Genomic DNA, 20535 nt, shown 5'->3' with positions numbered 1-20535 from the left:
TTATTCTTCCTCTTCCTGTTCCTTTTTTCTGTCCTTTTCAGTTATCCTCAATAACCACTAGGAACCTCTGCTTCTTTCTCCTGAATTTCTTCTTTCTCCTACATTGTTCCATATATTAATCAGTTCAGTTAGTGTTGCTCACTTTAGATAGTAAAAGTATACACAGAACAGCAAAATGTCAGGATATGTGAAATATAAATTGCTTTTTGACAGTTTTGCCTTATATCCTTGTATAATGTGAGACATCATATCCTGAATTCTCTGTTTTGTTTTGTTGTTTTGAAACAGAGTCTCGCTCTGTCGCCCAGGCTGGAGTGCAGTGGCACGATCTCTGCTCACTGCAGCCTCCACCTCCTTGGTTCAAAGTGATTCTCCTGCCTTAGCCTCCCAAGTAGCTGGGACTACAGGCATGTGCCACCATGCCTGGCTGATTTTGTATTTTTAGTAGAGATGGGGTTTCATCCTGTTGGCCAGTCTGGTCTTGAACTTCTGACCTCAGGTGATCTGCCCACCTCAGCCTCCCAAAGTGCTGGGATTACAGGCATAAGTCACTGCGCCTGGCCTCTGAATTCTGTTTTGAAAGAATAAATGTCCACTTGTGTATCTCCTTAAAGCTGTACTAACCTAAAATCGGTAGTTCCCCTGGGCATTTGCCAGGGATGGTGGCTTCTAGACTTTGAGTGATGGGAGAATAATTGTTAGTGTAGGTAAGTTGTTGGTTTTATCCACCTCAAACCTGATTGGGACTTCAGAGGAACCTCTTTGGGAAGCTAATGATTCAGGGTATTGAAGACATTAGCATAGAACATTAGTGGTTCTTTTTGTTTCAGAAGTTCATTGTTGTGATTAAATTGCCATCTGATAATTTTTATAGAACAGATGCTTAATTTTTAGAGCATTTTTCTATTTTCCAGCCTTTGCAAAATGTTAGCACAGTGCTGCAGAAGCCTAATCCTCTCTATAATCAGAATACAGATATGGTCCAGAAATCAGTCAGCAAAACCTTGCCCTCTACTTGGTCTGACCCCAGTGTAAACATCAGCCTAGACAACTTACTACCTGGTATGCAGCCTTCCAAACCCCAGCAGCCATCACTGAATACAATGATTCAGCAACAGAGTAAGTTACCTTAAGACGTCCCACTTCTTTGTGTACTTGCAGTCTTTTGCCTTAATGCCAGGACTACTTCAAACTATAAATAAAAATATATCACATAAATTGTAACAGTTAACCAAATGCCTGTTCACTTAAGATATTTTCACATAATATTTACTGGGTATTCCTCCTGGCACATTGAATTACTTTATATTCTATTCTTGTCCTGATAACATTTATTGTATTGTGGAGAGTTTTAAGGACCTGATCACTAAAATAAAAATTTGCTATACAGATTTTTTTTTAAATATAGGCAAATACGATGGACAAACAAAAATCATCTGATTCTGCCGTTGAGGGGTAATTGCCATTAATACATATTTCTTTCTATGTTTTCTTTTTTTTTTTTTTTTTTTTTCTGAGATGGAGTCTTGCTCTGTCGCCCAGGCTAGAGTGCAGTGGTGCAATCTCAGCTCACTGCAGCCTCCACCTCCCAGTTTTAAGCAATTCCTTGCCTCAGCCTTCCGAGTAGCTGGGACTACAGGCGTGCACCGCCACACCTGGCTAATTTTTATATTTTTAGTAGAGACAGGGTTTCACCCTGTTGTCCAGTCTGGTCTTGAACTCCTGACCTCAAGTGATCCACTCGCCTTGGCCTCCCAAAGTGCTGGGATTACAGGCGTGGGGCACCGCGCCTGGCCACTTTCCATCTTTTCTAAGCATATTTTTAATACTTGGGATCATTCTCTCTATACTGTTTCTTATTCAACATTAAGTTATCATTTTCCCTGTGTTGAATAATATTCTTAGGAAAATGATTGTTAGCTCTTGATAGTTATATTAGTGTATGATTTCCCTTGCTAATTATTTCAATTGTTTCCAGCTATTTGTTATTATAAATCAAGATTTTGTATAAATCTTCATACTTCTGTTTTTTTCTTAATAGAATGTTCTAAAAATAAGTCAAAGGATATAAACTTTTTAAAGATTTTTGTATAAATCTTCATACTTCTGATTTTTTTAATAGAATGTTCTAAAAATAGAATAAGTCAAAGGATGTAAACCTTTGAAAGATTTTTTATACACACTAGCTCTTGACAACTTGTTAAGTAGGATTTAACAATAGGTTTTGTAGGAATGTTTTTAAGTTGGCTGTTTTTCCCCAGTCTACTCTTACTGTTTCTACATCTCTGGGGAACCAGAGCCAATAGTCACTGAATATATGTCTCAAGAGGAACCAGTGCAGAGTAATTGATTTCTAATAAAATCACTGTAAAGGAATTTTATTGGGGCTAAAGAAGTATAGATAGATGGTCAAGAAGTTATTAGTTCTCTGTTCTATGAACCTAAAAATTTATTGTGGTAAAGTTCTTCTGTCTGTTTTCGTCTGGTAGATATGCAGCAGCCTATGAATGTGATGACTCAAAGTTTTGGAGCTGTGAACCTCAGTTCTCCATCGAACATGCTTCCTGTCCGGCCCCAAACTAATGCTTTGATAGGGGGACCCATGCCTATGAGCATGCCCAATGTGATGACTGGCACCATGGGAATGGCCCCTCTTGGAAATACTCCGATGATGAACCAGAGCATGATGGGCATGAACATGAACATAGGGATGTCCGCTGCTGGGATGGGCTTGACAGGCACAATGGGAATGGGCATGCCCAACATAGCCATGACTTCTGGAACTGTGCAACCCAAGCAAGATGCCTTTGCAAATTTCGCCAATTTTAGCAAATAAGAGATTGTAAAAGAAGCAGATTGAATGAAGAATTTTTAGCTGTGCAGATAGGTGATGTTGGGATGGAAAATGCTAATCAACTACCCTTTCTTTTATCAAGTAATTAAAATAAATCTACATAAAGAACCAAAAAGGCTGTTTTATAAAAGTGAAATATCCAGTATTTCAGAGGGCCAGGCAAGAGCACTTCAGATGAGGCAGTCAAAATCATTTTTTTCCAGTGAGGATAGACCACAAGTGGGTGGTGAGACCATTGAAAGCCTTTATCAACTGAAGAGTCCATTTAACAGCATAATTTGTGGGAAGACTGGAATAGGGCTGAATAAATGTGTTTGAATCTCTAATTTTATACTTTCTTTTCCTGAGGAACTTGATTTTTCTGTCCCTGGATCGCCTTGTCATAATTGGGTCTGTTCCTTTTACTACCACTCTTGAGTCCATATATGAAATCATTAAAGTTGGATGATCAGTTTTTTATAAAAATATATATTTTTGTCCAAGAAAAAAAAAAGCATACATATGTGATTATGGCTAAATCAAAGGTAACTGGAATGTATATACTTTTGCTAATGTTCCAGCAACACTGCTATTATACTATCCAAATTTTTATTGTAACAAAACCTCTTTAAGCAATTGGTGATTGCCATGGGACTTTTCCCATGTCTTCTGCTGTAATTATCCTGTGCAGAACTAGGAAGAAATTTTTTTCAGGACTGCTCTATGGTTTCCTTTAAAAGAAAAAAACTTCTGTTTGTTTTTAGCAGTCATTATTTACAATTTGCAGTGATTAACTTGGCAAGGCTTCCTTCCGTGTTTATCCCTGTAGCCATCATTTAAGTCAGGAACAGTCAGAAAAATATTTATTTTATTTTTTTTTTGGGTGTCTGCAAAGGTAAAAATCCATTAAAACCTTAAGTTAAATATAAATGTTACAACTCAATGTTTGCTTTTAGATTTTATACAGTATTTGTTTTGTTTTGGTTTTGAGTGTATATAATGCAGCATTAGCAATATGGTTCCAATAGAGGAGTTAAATATATATTGTTAAAGGAGACCTGTAGCAGTCAAAGATTTTATTGATTTAATGACAAAGGAAATTAATGAAAATGTTTTTGTTTTTCTGCTGTAATTCTGCATTAAGCTCACATGAAAATCATGATTCTAGAGTTTGGAATGCAAAATTAATTGTTTTACCCTCAAGCTGGGAATATTTTTCAAAATAAATACTATAATATAGATATCAAATTATTACCTCCCCATGTTATGTTGAAAATTTTTTTATTAAATTGATAAAACTTTATTTCCATTATATTCATAATGTTCTGTTATACATAACATTAAAATGTTCATTAAAATCAATGTTGAACTGCTTTTTCTTTCGTTCTGTTAGACATTTGAGACCATTTGGGGAAAAAATAATTATAGTTTGGGCAAAGTAATTTTTATAAATAATTTAAAATTATTTAATGACTTCTCTATTCTTTCCTATCAGACTCTACTGTTAGGAATTAAAAATGAAGCAGCAAAGATATCCTGACCTGCTCCATTCTTGCTAATGTTCCATCTACAACATTTCTAATTAGGCAGAAATTCATGTACTTCAGCTAAGTGGTAATGAAAAGTGATTCATTTGCTGAATAAGAGATGAGAGTGAGTGTAATTAGCTGACTGCGGTTTTTAATCTTTCAACAATTCAATGTGTTTAACTTAGTTTCAAAGAATAGGAGCTTTCAAGTGTTGTTACTTCAGAGCAATCAAGCCAGCCTCTGGTGGCCGCATAGTAGAATATGGTCCCTGATATTTAAAACCGATCATCTTAAGTAAATTTTTTCTTTAAGAAGTATATCTTCACTTTCTCAAATATGTATGGTTCTTAGACGAAGTAAATGTTTATCTGAACCTTTGTGTTTTAATTCTTTCTCTAATCAGATTGACCTCTAAAGCATTTTCTGTATCATGCCCTCCTACATTATATCTTTTTTTTTTTTGAACTTCAACTTATAGTTTCTTATCAGTATTTTTCTTTCAGAGCCCGTGAAAGAGAAAAACAACAGTTGTCTCACTGAATGTCTGTCCAGTTTAATGATTTGTCTCCGAAGGGGTTACTAAGTTATACTTGAAGAAAGGCACAAATACCCCCAAATCATTTGGAGTTGGGGAGAAAATACTCTTCCTTTCTTTCATTATTGGGTTTCCTTCAGCCCATCCTATACCCTTTCGTTCTTCAACCAGAGTTTTTTTGCTTGTATCAATTTTGTATTCTGCCTAATGGTGTGAGGGGAAGGTTGATACTGTTCCAGCAATTTATGTGTGGTGAGTCTACACGGCCACTCCAGATTCATTTTTGTTTCCTTCCCTCTAGGGTTTTTTTTTTTTCCCCCACTTCTCTGATGTCTTCGAGAACCATATACACTGTTTTTAAATAGTACTTTGGTTAGGTGTTTCCTTTTTTTAATTGCCTGAATGATAACCATAATACTATTGGTTTGAGGGTAATCACTAGCAAGTTGAGGCCATAGTTACATTTGGAGGGAAGGGTTAGTACTTTTTTTCTCTCAAATATTTATGAAACAGTTTTTCTTTTTGGCAGATGAATTAAAGAATTTGCCATCTTTCTGAACTTTGCAGTGTCTCATTTTGAAGATAAAGCACGGTGGTATAGTTTCCTAGCTGAGACATTAGGAAATACAGCTAAATCTATACTAAGCATGGAGCACACCTTATATTAAATGGATTTCTGAGGTAAATGCTGTGTATTTCAGCTCTCCTGAAGACAGCCCTGACTGCATTGTGGAAAGACCATGTGCTGGGAAGCCCATTTCAATCACCCACCATCTGCATGACCTTGAGAATTTACCTGACCTCTCTAGGCCCTCATTTTTTCCAAAATGAACTTAAGTCTTGAAATGTTGGATAATTAAATAAATGATGAGTGAGGTCCACCAGCACTGACATATGTGCAGTGCATGTTTTTCTGCCTCCCATTCTTTATGTAAATGCTTACATATCAGCAACTTTATTTGTGCCAGTCGCTGTGCTAAACACTTCCCATGTCAATTTACACAGCAAATTCAAAAGTTTGTGTTCCTGTTTTATTCCTGAAACCAGAGTATAGTAAAGAAAGCCTGAGAGACTCGTAAGTTGGTTTCTAATTAAGGGGTTTTACTAGCTGCATGAATTTAACTCCACTTTTTTTTTTTTAACTGTCAAGGAAATTGTAAATGAATTGTTCTGTGAATGTATTGAGTCGTTTCTTACCACATTAGTTTAGATGTGAGGCAGAGAGCTATTAAAGTGAGCTCTTGGTATAGGATTTGCCACACAATTCTCATTAGAATGTTCTCCACTTTTACAAGCTATAGAGATCAGTTTTTTAATTGATTGACTTGCAGTTTTGTTGACTGATCTTGCTATTCTTCTAATACCCAGATGAGCAATCAGATATAAAGACTAAATGAAATCCATGAAAGGATTTTTTAACTCACTATGACCTTAATTCCTTTTTTTGTTGTTGAAATAGGGTCTTGCTCTGTCACCCAAGCTGGAGTGCAGTGGCACAATCATGGCTCATTGCAGCCCCAACTTCTCGGGTGCAAGCAATCCTTACACAAGAGCCTCCCAAGTAGTTGGGACTACCGGTGTGTGCCACACACCTGGCTAAATTTTTAATTTTAGTAGACAGGATCTCCCTGTTTTGCCCAGGCTGGCCTTGAACACGTGGGCTCAAGCAATTAGTCTGCCTCAGCCTCCCGAAGTGCTGGGATTATAGTTGTGAGCCATCCTGCCCAGCCTGTGACCTTAATTCTTGTGTGTCTTCCTTTATTAAATGGCAGCGTTGCCTAATACATTGTTCCCGTGGAGCCATGAGTAGCTACCGCAGCCCTTTCTCTGGGCTTGCTTACCCCAATGGGCGGCAGATCAGCACATGGCCAATTGAAGGTTTACCTTCCCAGGGATTTGAAGCCCTGAAGGGCAAAAGTGGGTTTTGTTTCCTGTTCTTTAAATGTCATTTTAAATAACTGAATTATGAACTATGAAATCCTACTTTTCCTTTCCATTTGATTTTTCTTCTTTTCTTTATTTCTTTAATAGAAACAAGGTCCCACCAGGTTGCCCAGGCTGGTCTCGAACTCCTGAGCTCAAGTGATCCTGCTGCCTTGGCCTCCCAAAGTGTTAGGATTACAAGCATGAGCCACCACACCTGGCCTGATTTTTCTTAACTGTACATCTTGCAGTTGTGGTCTTTAAATGCTCCAAGCACACTTTTTTCTACTTTGTAATGAAGTAAGAGTGCTTACAGTTGGTCTATGGAGCATTTTGGTCTCAGATCCCTCTTTACAACCTTAAAAACTGAGGACTTCAAGGAGCTGTTATTTATGTGGGTTGCATCTATCAATGTTTATTTGAAATATAAAGTGCAAAGCTTTAAAATTATTAATTGGTTTCACAATAACCCATTATTATGTGTTAACAAACTGCAACTTTATAAGCTATATTTTCCAAAATAAAAATTTCTGAGAACAGCAGCATGGTTTTACATTATTGCGAATCTCTTTCATACCTGACATAATACCAGGTTGGTGCAAAAGTAATTGTGGTTTTTGGCATTTCAGTGGGAAAACTGCAGATACTTTTGCACCAACATAATAGAATGTAGCTGGGCTCTTTTACTTGTTTCTGCATTCAATCTGCTGTGATATGTTATTTTGGAGGAAGTTTGTGAAACAAGTCTGGTCTCAGGGGTAGGTGATTGGAAAAAGTTGGAACTTGCAACTTCTGGGAATGGTCTCAGGGCCCCTCAGTGGTCCCCATCCTGGCTTGGCAACTGCAACTATGTAGAGTTATCAGATAAGATGATTCTCTAGTATACTATGTATCCATTTACTTGATTTTTTCTGGTTATAAGATGACCTGCTTGAGGTACAAAGAATTTAGCTTTGCCTTTCACCAGTCGTCAGCAAAATGCCTGTCACATGAGATTTGCCCCCCTGGATTCTGAATATGAAAAATTGGTGACATCATAGCATTTGCTCAGTTTTTGAGATGATTTCTTCTGGTACACAGTGCATGTCTACTGATTTAATAGTTCTATAGTTGTGTTACGTATTATGCTAACTGGAACAGAAACTAATCTGTAAGATCACATGGAAGTGTGGACAGGCGTTAAGTGTTCTGAAGGAGCTAGTCATGGTGCTGTTAGAAAAGAATAGGAGCAGAGGCCTAATTTAGGTGGGATCACTCCAGATGCCCCCTCTGAGAAGGGAGCTTTTACACAGAGATCTGAAGAATGATGAGAAGGGGACAACCATGCTAAGCCAGACAGAGTGTCGTTCGGCCACGGAGAACTCCACGTGTGAGGACTCCTTGTGGAGAAAGAGCTACCAGAGAAGCTCATAGATGTAGCTGGAGCTCTGCATAAAAGGAGTGGAATCAGGGAGATAGGCAAGGACCATGTTAGTAACGCGTTCGGTGTGCTGAGAGAAATAATTACTTTATTCTCCTCAAAAGTTCCCCAGAGGGGGTTATCACCACCAGAAATGGAATATTCTGAAGGCCCCTTTTGCTTTCCTTGCCATACTTGTCATATAGAATAGGGCTCACTCTACTTGGGCTTTAAGAAACTTGAATGGAAAATTGGTAATATTGATTCGATATATTCACTATTTAACCTGAAATGCATTAATAGTTCATTTATATGTGAAAGATATGAATTGTTTGTATCTAAGGGACCGTTTTTATATGCAAATTGTGTATTTCAAATAGTGATAACTTGCATTTGCATATTACAGCTTACAGAGTGGATTCACACTCTTTTCTTGCCTGATTTTCACAATAACTCTAAGCCAAAAAGTTAAGACACTTATTATTTCCTTGTTACAGACAAGGAAACTGAGACTGACTGAGAGATCAAGGTAGTTATGAAAGCCACATTTCCTAGGACAGGTCCCTGGAATCCAAGTTCAGTGTTACTGCACTGTCCTCATTCCCCTCTATTAATATTTCAGATCTTTGAATTTGGAGATTGTACATGCCACACAGATAAATTGTCAGCTTTTTCTTGCATATCCCTGCGCTCTGATCACGTTGTCCCCAGATGCCACGTAACGTTCCACACATGGTAGACAGCTAGTAAAGGGTTGTTAACTACTATGTTTTTAAAATCAGCCCTGAAATGTTTATGTAATCTATTTGCATTTTCTAAAGGTCAACAGCAGGAGATGGGCCACAGAGCAAATAAAAACTGATCTCTTCTGAAGGGTAAATCTTCTGTCTTGTAGAAATGGTGACATAACTTAGCATAAGACCTTAGCCAAATCCGAGAGCAGAAAAATCCAGCAGATTTGGAGTAGTAATATAACACAAAGGCACCTCAAGGGATCAAAAGATATGTTAAGAATAATTCGCAGGCTAAAGGTGGATGGCATGGAATTGCTTGGCTGAGGAATCCATTTCAAAAAGTGCACTCAACAATTGGAAATATTGCATGCTCTCGGCCATTTTTCATCTGCTGCTGTGATTCTTGCACTTGAGAAATAGAATTGAGATGTCCAGCTACCAAATAAAAGTAGAAATGGAATTTCTAGATTTAAGTTCTTCAGGGAATATTTGAATTGGCATCTTTAGAGTAGGGTTTTAAAGAGCATTTAGAAATACCTGGTAATTTGAAAACCCTGCTTGGATTGCCAGTAGCTGAACTACCTTATTTTTGATGGAGGAAAAAAATACTCTGTTTAATGGAAAATATAAAATGAGGTTTGAGGCATGGGTTACACAAAGAACCATTTTTCAAGTCCTCTTTTAGAGGAAAGTAATAGAGTTAGATAAAAGAAATATTATTAAAGTATTTTAATTTTAACTAATTTACTAGGTTTATCAGTATTATCCCTTAGACCTAATTCCTGTGATGAATCAAGGAAAAGAATTTGTCAGTTGTTAAGAACTTTGCACATACCTTCTGTCTACCCATACAGTATCTATCTCTATATAAAATACAGAAAAAAGATTGGCTTTTAAATACTGTGTCTTCACCAAAAATTTTAGATGTCCCAAGAGTTACCAGATTTGAATGATGGGTGGCATAAGGTACCGCTTTAGTAATTAACTGGTTCTTTAATAAGGCCTCAATTACTTTGTTTCATGATAAGGAAAAAAAAATATATGTTCCAAGACAGAGTTACATTCGACATCTGGGAACCTCCTAACAGCTGGCTACCTAATGAATATGCATCTGCTTAAGAGGCTGTAGACCATTAATAAACCAGTAGATGTAAAGCAGAAACAATCTTTGTCAGCTTCAAATGAGATTGGATGCAATGTGCTGTGAAGTGTCACTGTCACACTGAATTGAGTTTGGGAGGTTAACAATCAACTCATAGGTCCTCATGTCTTTGTATCTCTACGCTCGTGCTGACACTCTTCGCAAACTGGTGGCCGTGTTTCTGATGTACAACTTATTTTTCCTGAGAGCCTGATTTGAGGCTTACATACAACGTCTGTGTCTCAAAAACGTCTTCCATTTTGTTCCACTAAACCACATGTTCACCAAGACTTCTTAAAACAAAGGAGTCATCTCCAGATGGGAAAGGCGGGAAATGTCAGCATCAAATTGGTGCAAGACGGACTTCCAGTGAAATTGAAAATTCTTAGGATGAAATCTGCAGTTAAGTTGGGAACATAATTTGTTGGGTCCTTCAGAAGAAATTCCTTACTCCTTGTGCAGACAGCGATTCTGGTGTTGATTAACTGTTCTAAATGGGCCCTTAGAGTGAATGGTGCTACCCCAACTGTGGTGTGGTGATGAGCACACTTCCCCAGTTTCTTGGTTGAGATGTCTTGAGGGACACTATATCCACAGAAGCCTTGTTTGAGATTATATCCTGTGTGAGGGAAGATTAGACCTAGGCAAGCCTACACTTTCACAGCCAAATATGTACCCATCACTGTTCTCATCCAAGTGCTCACAGATATGTTTTAGGAGAATATTATGGCTAAGGAAGAAAACTGGAAATTCAAGCCCTCGGTAGTTCTTTTAAGCACCTTCTATATGCCATTTGGCTTATCTTTTCAAATTGTGATAGAATACACATACCATATGTGTAGAATGTGGTAAGTGTATAATGTGGTAAATATATATGTGTATAAATGAGGTAAAACACACGAAATTTTACCATTTTAACCATTTCTAAGTACAGTTCAGTGGCTTACGTTCACATTATTGTGCAACCATCATCACCACCCTCCATCTCTAGAACTTCTCATCTTCCCAAACTGAAACTCTGCACCCGTTAAACACTAACGCCCCAGCCCTCTCTCCTCCATTCCCCGCCAACCACCTCTCTACTTTCTATGAATTTGACTACCCTAAGTAGATATATAAGTAGAATCATACCGTATTTGTCCTTTTGTGACTGACATTTCTCTTAGCATAATGTCCTCAAGGTCATCCATGCTGTATCATGTTCTAGAATTTCATTTCTTTTTTAGAGACAGTCTTGCTCTGTTGCCCAGGCTGGAGTGCAGTGGTGCAATCTCAGCTCACTGCAACCTCTGCCTACCGGGTTCAAGCAATTCTCCTGCCTCAGCCTCCTAAGTAGCTGGGACTACAGGCACCAGCCACTACACCTGGCTAGTTTCTTTTTTTTTTTTTTTTTTTTTTTTTTTGAGACAGAGTCTGGCTCTTGTTGCCCAGGCTGGAGTGCAGTGGCATTATCTCGGCTCACTGCAAGCTCCACCTCCCAGGCTCAAGAGATCCTTCCACCTCAGCCTCTTGAGTAGCTGGGACTACAGGTGTGCGCCACCATGACAGGCTAATTTTTGTATATATATTTTGGTAGAGACAGAGTCTCACCATATTGCCCAAGCTGGTCTTGAACTTCTGGGCTCAAGTGATCTGCCTGCTTTGGCCTTAGAAAGTGCTGGCTTTAAAGGCGTGAGCCACCGTGCCATACGGCATATCCTCTTACTCCTTCTCAAAAGAAAAAAAAAAAAAAAAGAATGGACTCTCTTCTGCTCACCATGTCTCAGTTGCACTAGGCTAAGTAGTAAGTGTATTAGCCTCATTAACCAGAAGAAGAAACTGAGGTTTTATAACCTGTATGATAGACTGAGGAGAAAAACATGGGCTATTTCCAGAGAATATGCAAGTAAATTCTCAAATATTTAGCACCACTAACACCAAATGAGATCATATTTCTTAACAAAAAACAGAGATCTATGGTATGGGAAGAGGCTCCTGGGCTACGTCTCATTGATTCAGATCACTGGATGGGTGGAGGAAGCGAGGCCTGGCCTCTTACACCACATCAAAGCCCGGGAACCCAGGCAGAGTGCCAAGCCTTGTCAATTTTACTGCCTCCAAATGGAAAAGGAAAGCACAGGATGGAGTTGAGGATACGGTCTGCGGCTTGATTACAGGTGTCATCAGGACAGCCTGCACAAACCCACTACAGGAGGACCTGGCAGATACAGTGCTGGTTTTTCAGTAGCTGAAGCAATGTTGCCCAATGAATGGCAGTTTGGGTTTTTTTTTGGTTGGTTTTTGTTTTGTGATTTTTGGTAGATGAATATTCTTAAATTTAATAATTACACACTTAATTTTTTCTTTTCTGTTCTTTTCCTTTCTTTTTTTTTTTTTTTTTTTTTTTGAGACAGAGACTCGCTCTGTCGCCCAGGCTGGAGTGCAGTGGGGAGATCGCGGCTCACTGCAACCTCCGCCTCACGGGTTCAAGCAATTGTCTGCCACAGCCTCCCGAGTAGCTGGGATTACAAGCGCCCACCACCACGCCCGGCTAATTTTTGTAGTTTTAGTAGAGACGGGGTTTCACCATCTTGGCCAGGCTGGTCTTGAACTCCTGACCTTGTGATCCACCCGCCTTGGCCTCCCAAAGTGCTAGGATTACAGGCAAGAGCCACCGCGCCTGGCCTCTTTTTTTCTTTTTCCAGGCTGGAGTGCAGTGGCACCATTATAGCTCTCTCTAGCCTCAACCTCCTGGGCTCAAGTGATCCACCTGCCCCAGCCTCCCAAGTAGCTGGCACCACAACATGTGCCACCAAACCCAGCTAATTTCTTTTTTATTTTTTGTAGCAACCGAGTCCCACTATGTTGCCCAGCCTGGTCTCAACCTCTTGGGCTCAAGCAATCTTCCTGCCTTGGCCTTCTGAGTAGCTGGGATTACAGGCATAAGCCACCACACCTGGCCCCACACCTAACTTTTTGATTACTTTTTTTCTGAGACAGAGTCTCACTCTGTCGCCCAGGCTGGAGTGCAGTGGTGAGATCTTGGCTCACTGCAACCTCCACCTCCCAGGTTCAAGCAATTCTCCTGCCTCAGCCTCCCAAGTAGCTGGGACTACAGGCATGCACCACCTTGCCCGGCTTTTTCTTTTTGTATTTTTAGTAAAGATGGGGTTGGCCAAGCTAGTCTCAAAATCCTGTTGGCCAATCCATGTTGGCCAAGCTAGTCTCAAAATCCTGACCTCAGGTGATCCGCCCACCTTGGCCTCCCAAAGTGCTGGGATTACAGGTGTGAACCACCACAAATAACCGAGGTATCTATTTTATACCTGGAGGTGGTACACAAACTATTTTACTGATAGGATGTTCAATCAACAAGGTCTGGTCACTACCAGCTGTGAAAACGAGTTGCTGAGCCCCAGCACACACACTACTGTGTTTGTGGCTGTTTCCTCTCAGCACACTTGCTTTCTCACGCCCTAGCTGCATCAAAGGGAGGGCAAAGTGAGAGAGAGCACAGGACCCTGACGAATCCACTCTTGCATAGAAGATGTGTGTCCAGGGGTCAACCTCTCATCTGAGGGCTCGAAGGCTGTTTTTTTTTACAGTCCTTTGGAGATCTCAAAACCCAACCACCTTGATCCAGTTCTAAATTTTAAAAAGGAAAGATCAAGATGGAGTGTGATCCCCAATTTTTCTTAGTAACTATTTATAATTCAGAATTTATTTTTCTAAAACAATGGTTTACAAAGCCACGCACAGTGGCTCACGACTGTAATCCCAGCATTTTGGAAGGCCAAAATGAGAGGATCGGAAGTGAAAAGGATCGAAGCAGGAGGATTGCTCGAGCCCAGAAGTTCAAGACCAGCCTGGGCAACAGCTTGGTTTTTGTAGACTCCATGTCTACAAAAAAATACAAAAAAAATTAGCCAGGTGTGGTGGCATAGGCCTGCAGTACTGATTACTCGGGAGGCTGAGCTGGGAGGATCACTTGAGTCCTGGAAGGTCAAGACTACAGTGAGCCATGCTGGCGCCACTGCACTCCAGCCTGGGCAATAGAACAAGACCCTGTCTCCCTGTCTCAAAAAAAAAAAAAAAAAAAAGGTTTACAGTAGTTCATTTTCTTAGACAAGACCTACTTAATAATATTCAAAGTGGCAGACACAGAGATTTGCAAAGACAATTTGTAGATTATAATGCTGTTACAATGCCAGTGATCCAGTGATCAAATGAAACAAAAATGGAATAAGAATAGTTTACTTTGGGCTGAGTATGGTGGCTCATGCCTGTAATCCCAGCACTTTGGGAGGCTGAGGTGAGCAGATCACGAGTTCTGGAGTTCGAGACCACTCTGGCCAACATGGTGAAACCCCATCTCTACTAAAAACACAAAAATTAGCCAGGTGTGGTGGTGCACACCTGTAGTCCCAGCTACTCGGGAGGCTGAGGCAGACGAATCACTTGAACCCGGGAGGCGGAGGTTGCAGTGAGCCAAGATCGTGCCACTGCACTCCAGTCTGAGTGACAGAATGAGACTTCAACTAAAAAAAAAAAAAAAGGTTATTTTAAACCATGTGGTACTTAGAGAAAACCATGACAATGAGAAATAGAAGCTTTTGTGAAGACTTTGAAAGGGCCTTCTCATCTCTTTTGAGGACAGGAAAGATGTATAGAACTAGCTTTTTCTTGTCCAAGTTCACTGCAAAACTCACAGCTCTTCTTGTCCTTAATGCTAGAGAATCACTAATACACTCCTTTGACTTAGATCCTTGATTAGCATCTATTTTGGGTTGGTGAACAAGGAAAGCACAACTACGGTCGTCCCCGGTGTCTGACGGGGATTGGTTCCAGGTCCCCAGTAGATACCACAATCCACAGACACCCAAGTCACAGATATAAAATGGTGCAGGATCTGCACATAACCTATGTGTCTCCTCCCATACACTTTATTATTAGTATTTATTTATTTTTGAGATGGAGTCTTGCTCTGTCACCCAGCCTGGAGTGCGGTGGTGCGATCTCAGGCTCACTGTAACCTCCACCTCCCAGGTTCAAGTGATTTTCCTGCCCCAGCCTCCTGAGTAGCTGAGATTACAGGTACGCACCACCATGCCCAGCTAATTTTTGTATTTTTAGTAGAGACAGGGTTTCACCATGTTGGCCAGGCTGATCTCAAACTCCCGGCCTCAAGTCATCCGCCCCCGCTGGGCCTCCTAAAGTGCTGGGATTACAGGTATGAGCTACCACACCCGGCCTATTATTTATTTTTTATTTATTTCTTTTCCTCAGAGATTCCTGTTCTGAAATTCCCGTATACTTTACATCATCTCTAGATTATTTATATATCTAATATAATGTAAATGCTATGTAAATAGTTGTACTGTATTTTTATTTGTATTATTTCTGTTGTTGCAATTTTTTTCTGAATAGTTTCCATCAGCTCTTGGTTGAATCCGAGGGTACGGAACCCGCAGATACAGAGGGCTGAGTGTATTTATTTGAATGTGATAGTAACTTTATTCACCAAAGTAGTTCATTTATTCATATAGGGGTCTGCTTATATTTAACCTTTTCTTGTCTCATTTGAAAACAATGTTCTTAATCCATCTCTGAGACATAATTCAGCTTGTGCTCAGAATTGCATATATATATATCGGTTCCTAAGGGTGAAAAAGAAAAAAAGGTGCCAATAAGCCCACCAGATAAGGGACCCAGGAAGGGAGGGTCATATGTTGCTGGAATGCTGTTTAGTTCCCAGTTAAGAGATTAAGGGGGTCTTTTCTGATGTTTTCCCTTTGGGACCCAGGAGAAACGACATTTTTCTACATACTCGAGCAGCACCCATGGGTCAGATTTATTGCCTAGGCTAGGCTGCTCTTCCAAAGAACTTAGCATCCGTGGGGCAATGTAGAAATTTATGAATATTTTAAAGTTCCATCAACACATCACGAAGGTGCTGAAACAGATTGGGAATACATTAAACATAGCTGTTACAACTTGCAGAGCATGACAGTGACGGGAAAGAAGTAAGAGAATGAGAAATAGCTCTCTTTGCAGTTTTTCACCTACCCGGACACACACTAACAGCAAAACGCACACACATTCATTTTATAGGCAGATTGCAAGCAACTAACAATAGTGAAAACGATAGTGACATCATAATGCTATCTATCATTTCCCTTCAGTCTTTCTCTTACCTGCCACTCTCACCACACCTGGCATCCCTGTATCTCTCCCCTCACTGCCTTCTGCATTCACCCACTCGAAAAGGACACAAGGCGGAAAACAACTGGTAAAACTGGGAAGAAGCGCTTTCAGTTGTTCAAGACCCTGCTGTCCATTTGCGAATGTCACTTTCCTTGGAGAGACCTTCCCTGATGACTTACAAAGAGCTACCCCAGACACCCTCTATCACATTCTCCTGTTTCTTTTTTCTTTTTTTTTGAGACGGAGTTTCACTCTTGTTGCCCAGGCTGGAGTGCAATGGTGAGCTCTTGGCTCACTGCAACTTCTGCCTCCCAGATTCAAGCGATTCTTCTGCCTCAGCCTCCCGAGTAACTGGGATTACAGGCACCCACCACCACACCTGGCTAATTTTTGTATTTTTAGTAGAGAAGGGGTTTCACCATGTTGGCCAGCCTGGTCTTGAACTCCTCACCTTGTGATCCGCCCGCCTTGGCCTCCCAAAGTGTTGGGATTACAGGCGTGAGCCACTGCGCCCAGCCTCCTGTTTCTTGTTTTTGCATGGCACTTTGCATCATCTAAAGTTCTTATTTATATTTTGTTTCTAAGTGGATGGTCCGTCTCCCCCAGTAGAATGTAAATGCCATGAGAGCAGGAACTTATCTGTCCCGTTCACCCAGTGTCTCCAGGTTAGAACACTGCCTGGTCCTAAAAGGAGCTTAGCAAATCAATGTTGACAGGATAAATACCATGGAATATGCAAAACACAGGGAAAATAAGAGCAGAAAAAAATTACAAAATTTAGAATTGAAAGGAACCCTAGAAGAGCTGTTTGGTAGATTTTGATGTTTGCAAGGATATTCAAGGAGACACTACAGGCAATCCGCAACAGTGTCTAGTAAGTAGATAGGTGGCTAGTATTTTAATTTTTTTTTTTTTTTGAGTTAGGAATCTTGCTGTGTCGCCCAGGCTGGAGAGCACTGGTGTGATGACAGCTCACTGCAGCCTTGAATGCATGGGCTCAAGCAATCCTCATGCCTCAGCCTCCCAAATAGCTGGGACTACAGGTGCACACCATAGTGCTCAGCTGTTTTATTTTTACTTTTTGTAGAGGTAGGGGTCTCACTATGTTGTCCAGGTTAGTCTTGAACTCCTGGCCTCAAATGATCCTCCCACCTCAACCTCCCAAAGCACTGGAATTACAGGCATGAGCCACTACACCTGGCTGGCTATTATGTTTCAAAAATTTTATTATTTGGCCACATGCGGTGGCTCATGCCTGTATTTCCAGCACTTTGGAAGGCCGAGGCAGGCAGATCACCTGAGGTCAGGGGTTCAAGACCAGCCTCGCCAACATGGTGAAACTCTGTCTCTACTAAAAATACAAAAATTAGCCAGGTGTGGTGGTGCACATCTGTAATCCCAGCTACTCGGGAGGCTGAGGCAGGAGAATCACTTGAACCCAGGAGGCAGAGGTTGGAGATTATGCCAGTGCACTCCAGCCTGGGCGACAAGAGTGAGATTCTGTCTCAAAAAAAAAAAAAAATTATTATTCTGAGCTAGAAAAATGACCTGGCCTCAGGATTTGACAGTGTTCTTTCCCAACTCAACAAAAGGATTTAGTTCCTCTTACTTAACCCTGATCCCAGAAATAAAATTCTACTCTGAGCCTGAAAGCCGCCCCTGTCCCCACCCCAGCAATAGTCCCAACAGCTCTGTGCATTAGCAATGCAGGGCTAGTGCTGCGATCCACAGTCTCCTTTGAGAATATTGGGTGAAAAATCCCTGCAGGGTTGGCCCTGGCTTTCTTTGTTCGCATTGTTTGCTTTGAAGACCTTAACTCGGTGCTGAGAAATCAATAAGCAGGGATGCTGCTGCCCCGGTATATGTCTCCTTCTGAGTCTCCTGCGGGAGGCTCGCTTCACTCCAACGCACTAAGTGGTGAAGTGCCTAACTCTGTCTGCAAATTAGGGCTCTTGTAAGTAATAAAGGAAGACCAAGTTTCGCTTGCTGTGGATTTTCCATCCAGAGTGTCATTAGATAAAACGAAAGTACACATTACAGGTTTGTGTAATGAATGAGCCTCAAGTTAGGTTTGCCGTGATAGGGTTATCAGTCATTGCAAAATTAATTATTTAGGAAAGCACTTTTTACAGGGGGTTTTCATTTAATTTTTGCCCCTTGATGTATGTATGTAAAAATGACTAATCCATTGGACATTGCTATTTTATTTGTGCATCTATCACTATTGGGCCTTTTTTTGTAATTAGTTTATTAATTATAGCATCTTAATGATCTGTTTAAAATAAATAAACCATTTGCACCATTTCAAAGGTATTTTGTGAGGCTCAGCTGATAATAGCACCAGCCTTATGTGCTTTTTCAGCAAGTGACCTAATTAGTTAATAAAGTAATTGAATATTAAAAAGGATGTTGCAAGTGATTAAAATTTAAGAGCCTTCAGAATGTTATTAAAGCTATAAATCATACATCACTGTTTTAATTTGCATAGCAACAGAATTACTAATGGTCCCACATGTACATGGGGCTTGGCAATTTGTCCTTCAACAAAATGTTGGTGATGTCGAGGTACCAAATTCTTTCAACCTCTTTTGATAGCTAAATAGAAACCTGCTTTTGCCAAATTACATATCTAACTGTTGAAATTGCTTCTTGCTCCCTTCGTCAGGCATGTACATTCATTCATCCAACAAATATTTGTGAAAACCTTTCATGCTCAAGTACTGTGCTAGGTATCGGGTATAACAGTGAGAAAAAGCCACAATCCTCGTGGAGGTTGCATTTTGGAGTTGGTTGGGCAGAGACACTAGTCGTGTAGTCCCCAAATTCATGCATAATTACAAAAAAGGCGATGAGGGGCTGTGAAAAAAAAGTGTCAGATTCTTCAAGACGATTTTTCTGGGAAAATGTGACCTCGTCTGATAGATTAGGAGCCGAACACTTAATTTCAGGCCAGGGAACCGGGACTTCTTTACACAGTAGAGGAACCTTGTTCAAGCAGGAAATGCTTGATGAATCTGCCAAGGGGGTGTAGGAAGGACTGGCTGGAGTAGTTGGTTGTTTACCAACAGCCATCATGCCTTCCCGCCTACAGGAGTCCCAATTTTGTTTGGGTATAGGGCCAGGGCTATGCCTAGGGAATGTAGGCTCAGGCCCCGGGATGAATGATGAATGCTCTAACCAGTTATTGTAATCCCATTCCTCTTTGCCTGTGATTGCTTTAAGGTGGATGTATTCTGGGAAATGTAATAGGCTTTGTGGAAGAATTTCCCTTCCTGGTAAAAAGAGATACACAGGTAGGACACTCCTTTCCTCCATACCTTTGGATGTTATCATGAGTGAAGGTGATGGCTGGAGCTACGGCAGCCTTAATGAGACCATGAGGAGGAAGACAAAACAAACAAACAAAATGCCACACACAGCTGGGTGCGGTGGCTCATACCTGTAATCCCAGCACTTTGGGAGGCTGAAGCAGGCAGACTGCTTGAGTCCAGGAGTTCGAGGGCAGCCTGGGCAACATGGCAAGACCCCTGACTATACAAAATATACAAAAATTAGCCAGGCATGGTGGTGTATGCTTATAGTGGCAGCTACTTGGGAGGCTGAGGCAGGAGGATCACTGGAGCCTGAGAGGCAGAGGCTGCAGTGAGCCATGATTGCACCACTGCACTCCAGCCTGGGTGACAGAACGAGACTCTGTCTAAAAAAAACCAATAAAACAACCCCCGCTCCCCCACCCGCCACCACACACACACATTCCCTAAACCTGAGCCCTGATATTGTTTGGTTGCTGAACCAACTCTGACAACTTTGGATGTCTTAATGTATGAAATAGTAAGTTTTAGTTGGGTAGTCTGCTTCTTGAAGTCTAAAGCATCCCAACTGAACCAGATAGGTAAAAAATGAAGACTCTAACTTCTTCTTCAAGTCACTTAAAAAACAAAAAAGACTCTAGAAGCTAAAAGGCAAATTAAGAGGCTCATATAATTGTCCAGGTGAGCAGTAGTAAAATAATAAATTATGGTGGAGTGAGACAATAGGAATGGAAAGTAAAGTCTAGAACAGAGCTAAGGCATCATGGACACAGAATCAACAGAACTTGCCAATGCTTTAGCTATCAGGGTACCAGGTAATAGCAACTCTCATTCACTGAGTATTTCCTACATTCCAAGCATCATTCTGAGTGCTTTTCAATTCAGTCTCATGGAATCATTTCAACACCTCTATGAAGTACTATTCATTGTCACCATGATTGAATTCT

At 40.6% G+C, this 20535-nt stretch overlaps 1 protein-coding gene across 6 annotated transcripts in view; it reads left to right on the top strand.

The window, feature by feature from the left end:
• The window catches only part of CLINT1 (clathrin interactor 1), a 73399-nt gene extending 68664 nt beyond the window's left edge, over window positions 1-4735 (top strand). For 2 of the 6 annotated variants that reach the window (NM_001195556.2, NM_001195555.2), the window contains exons 11-12: window positions 915-1119; window positions 2490-4735. In NM_001195556.2, coding sequence (NP_001182485.1) covers window positions 915-1119; window positions 2490-2836 — 552 coding nt within the window. In that variant the 3' untranslated portion in view covers window positions 2837-4735. Of the gene's footprint in view, window positions 1-41; window positions 1120-2463 lie in introns of those variants that run through there. The other 4 variants (NM_014666.4, XM_017010087.2, XM_011534701.4 and 1 more) reach the window with 4 other exon arrangements.

Source organism: Homo sapiens, chromosome 5 (assembly GCF_000001405.40).
Source record: "Homo sapiens chromosome 5, GRCh38.p14 Primary Assembly".
NCBI classification, from domain to species: Eukaryota; Metazoa; Chordata; class Mammalia; order Primates; family Hominidae; genus Homo; species Homo sapiens.
Note: the sequence above shows the minus strand (reverse complement) of the source record. Positions and strands in the feature narration are given on the sequence as shown.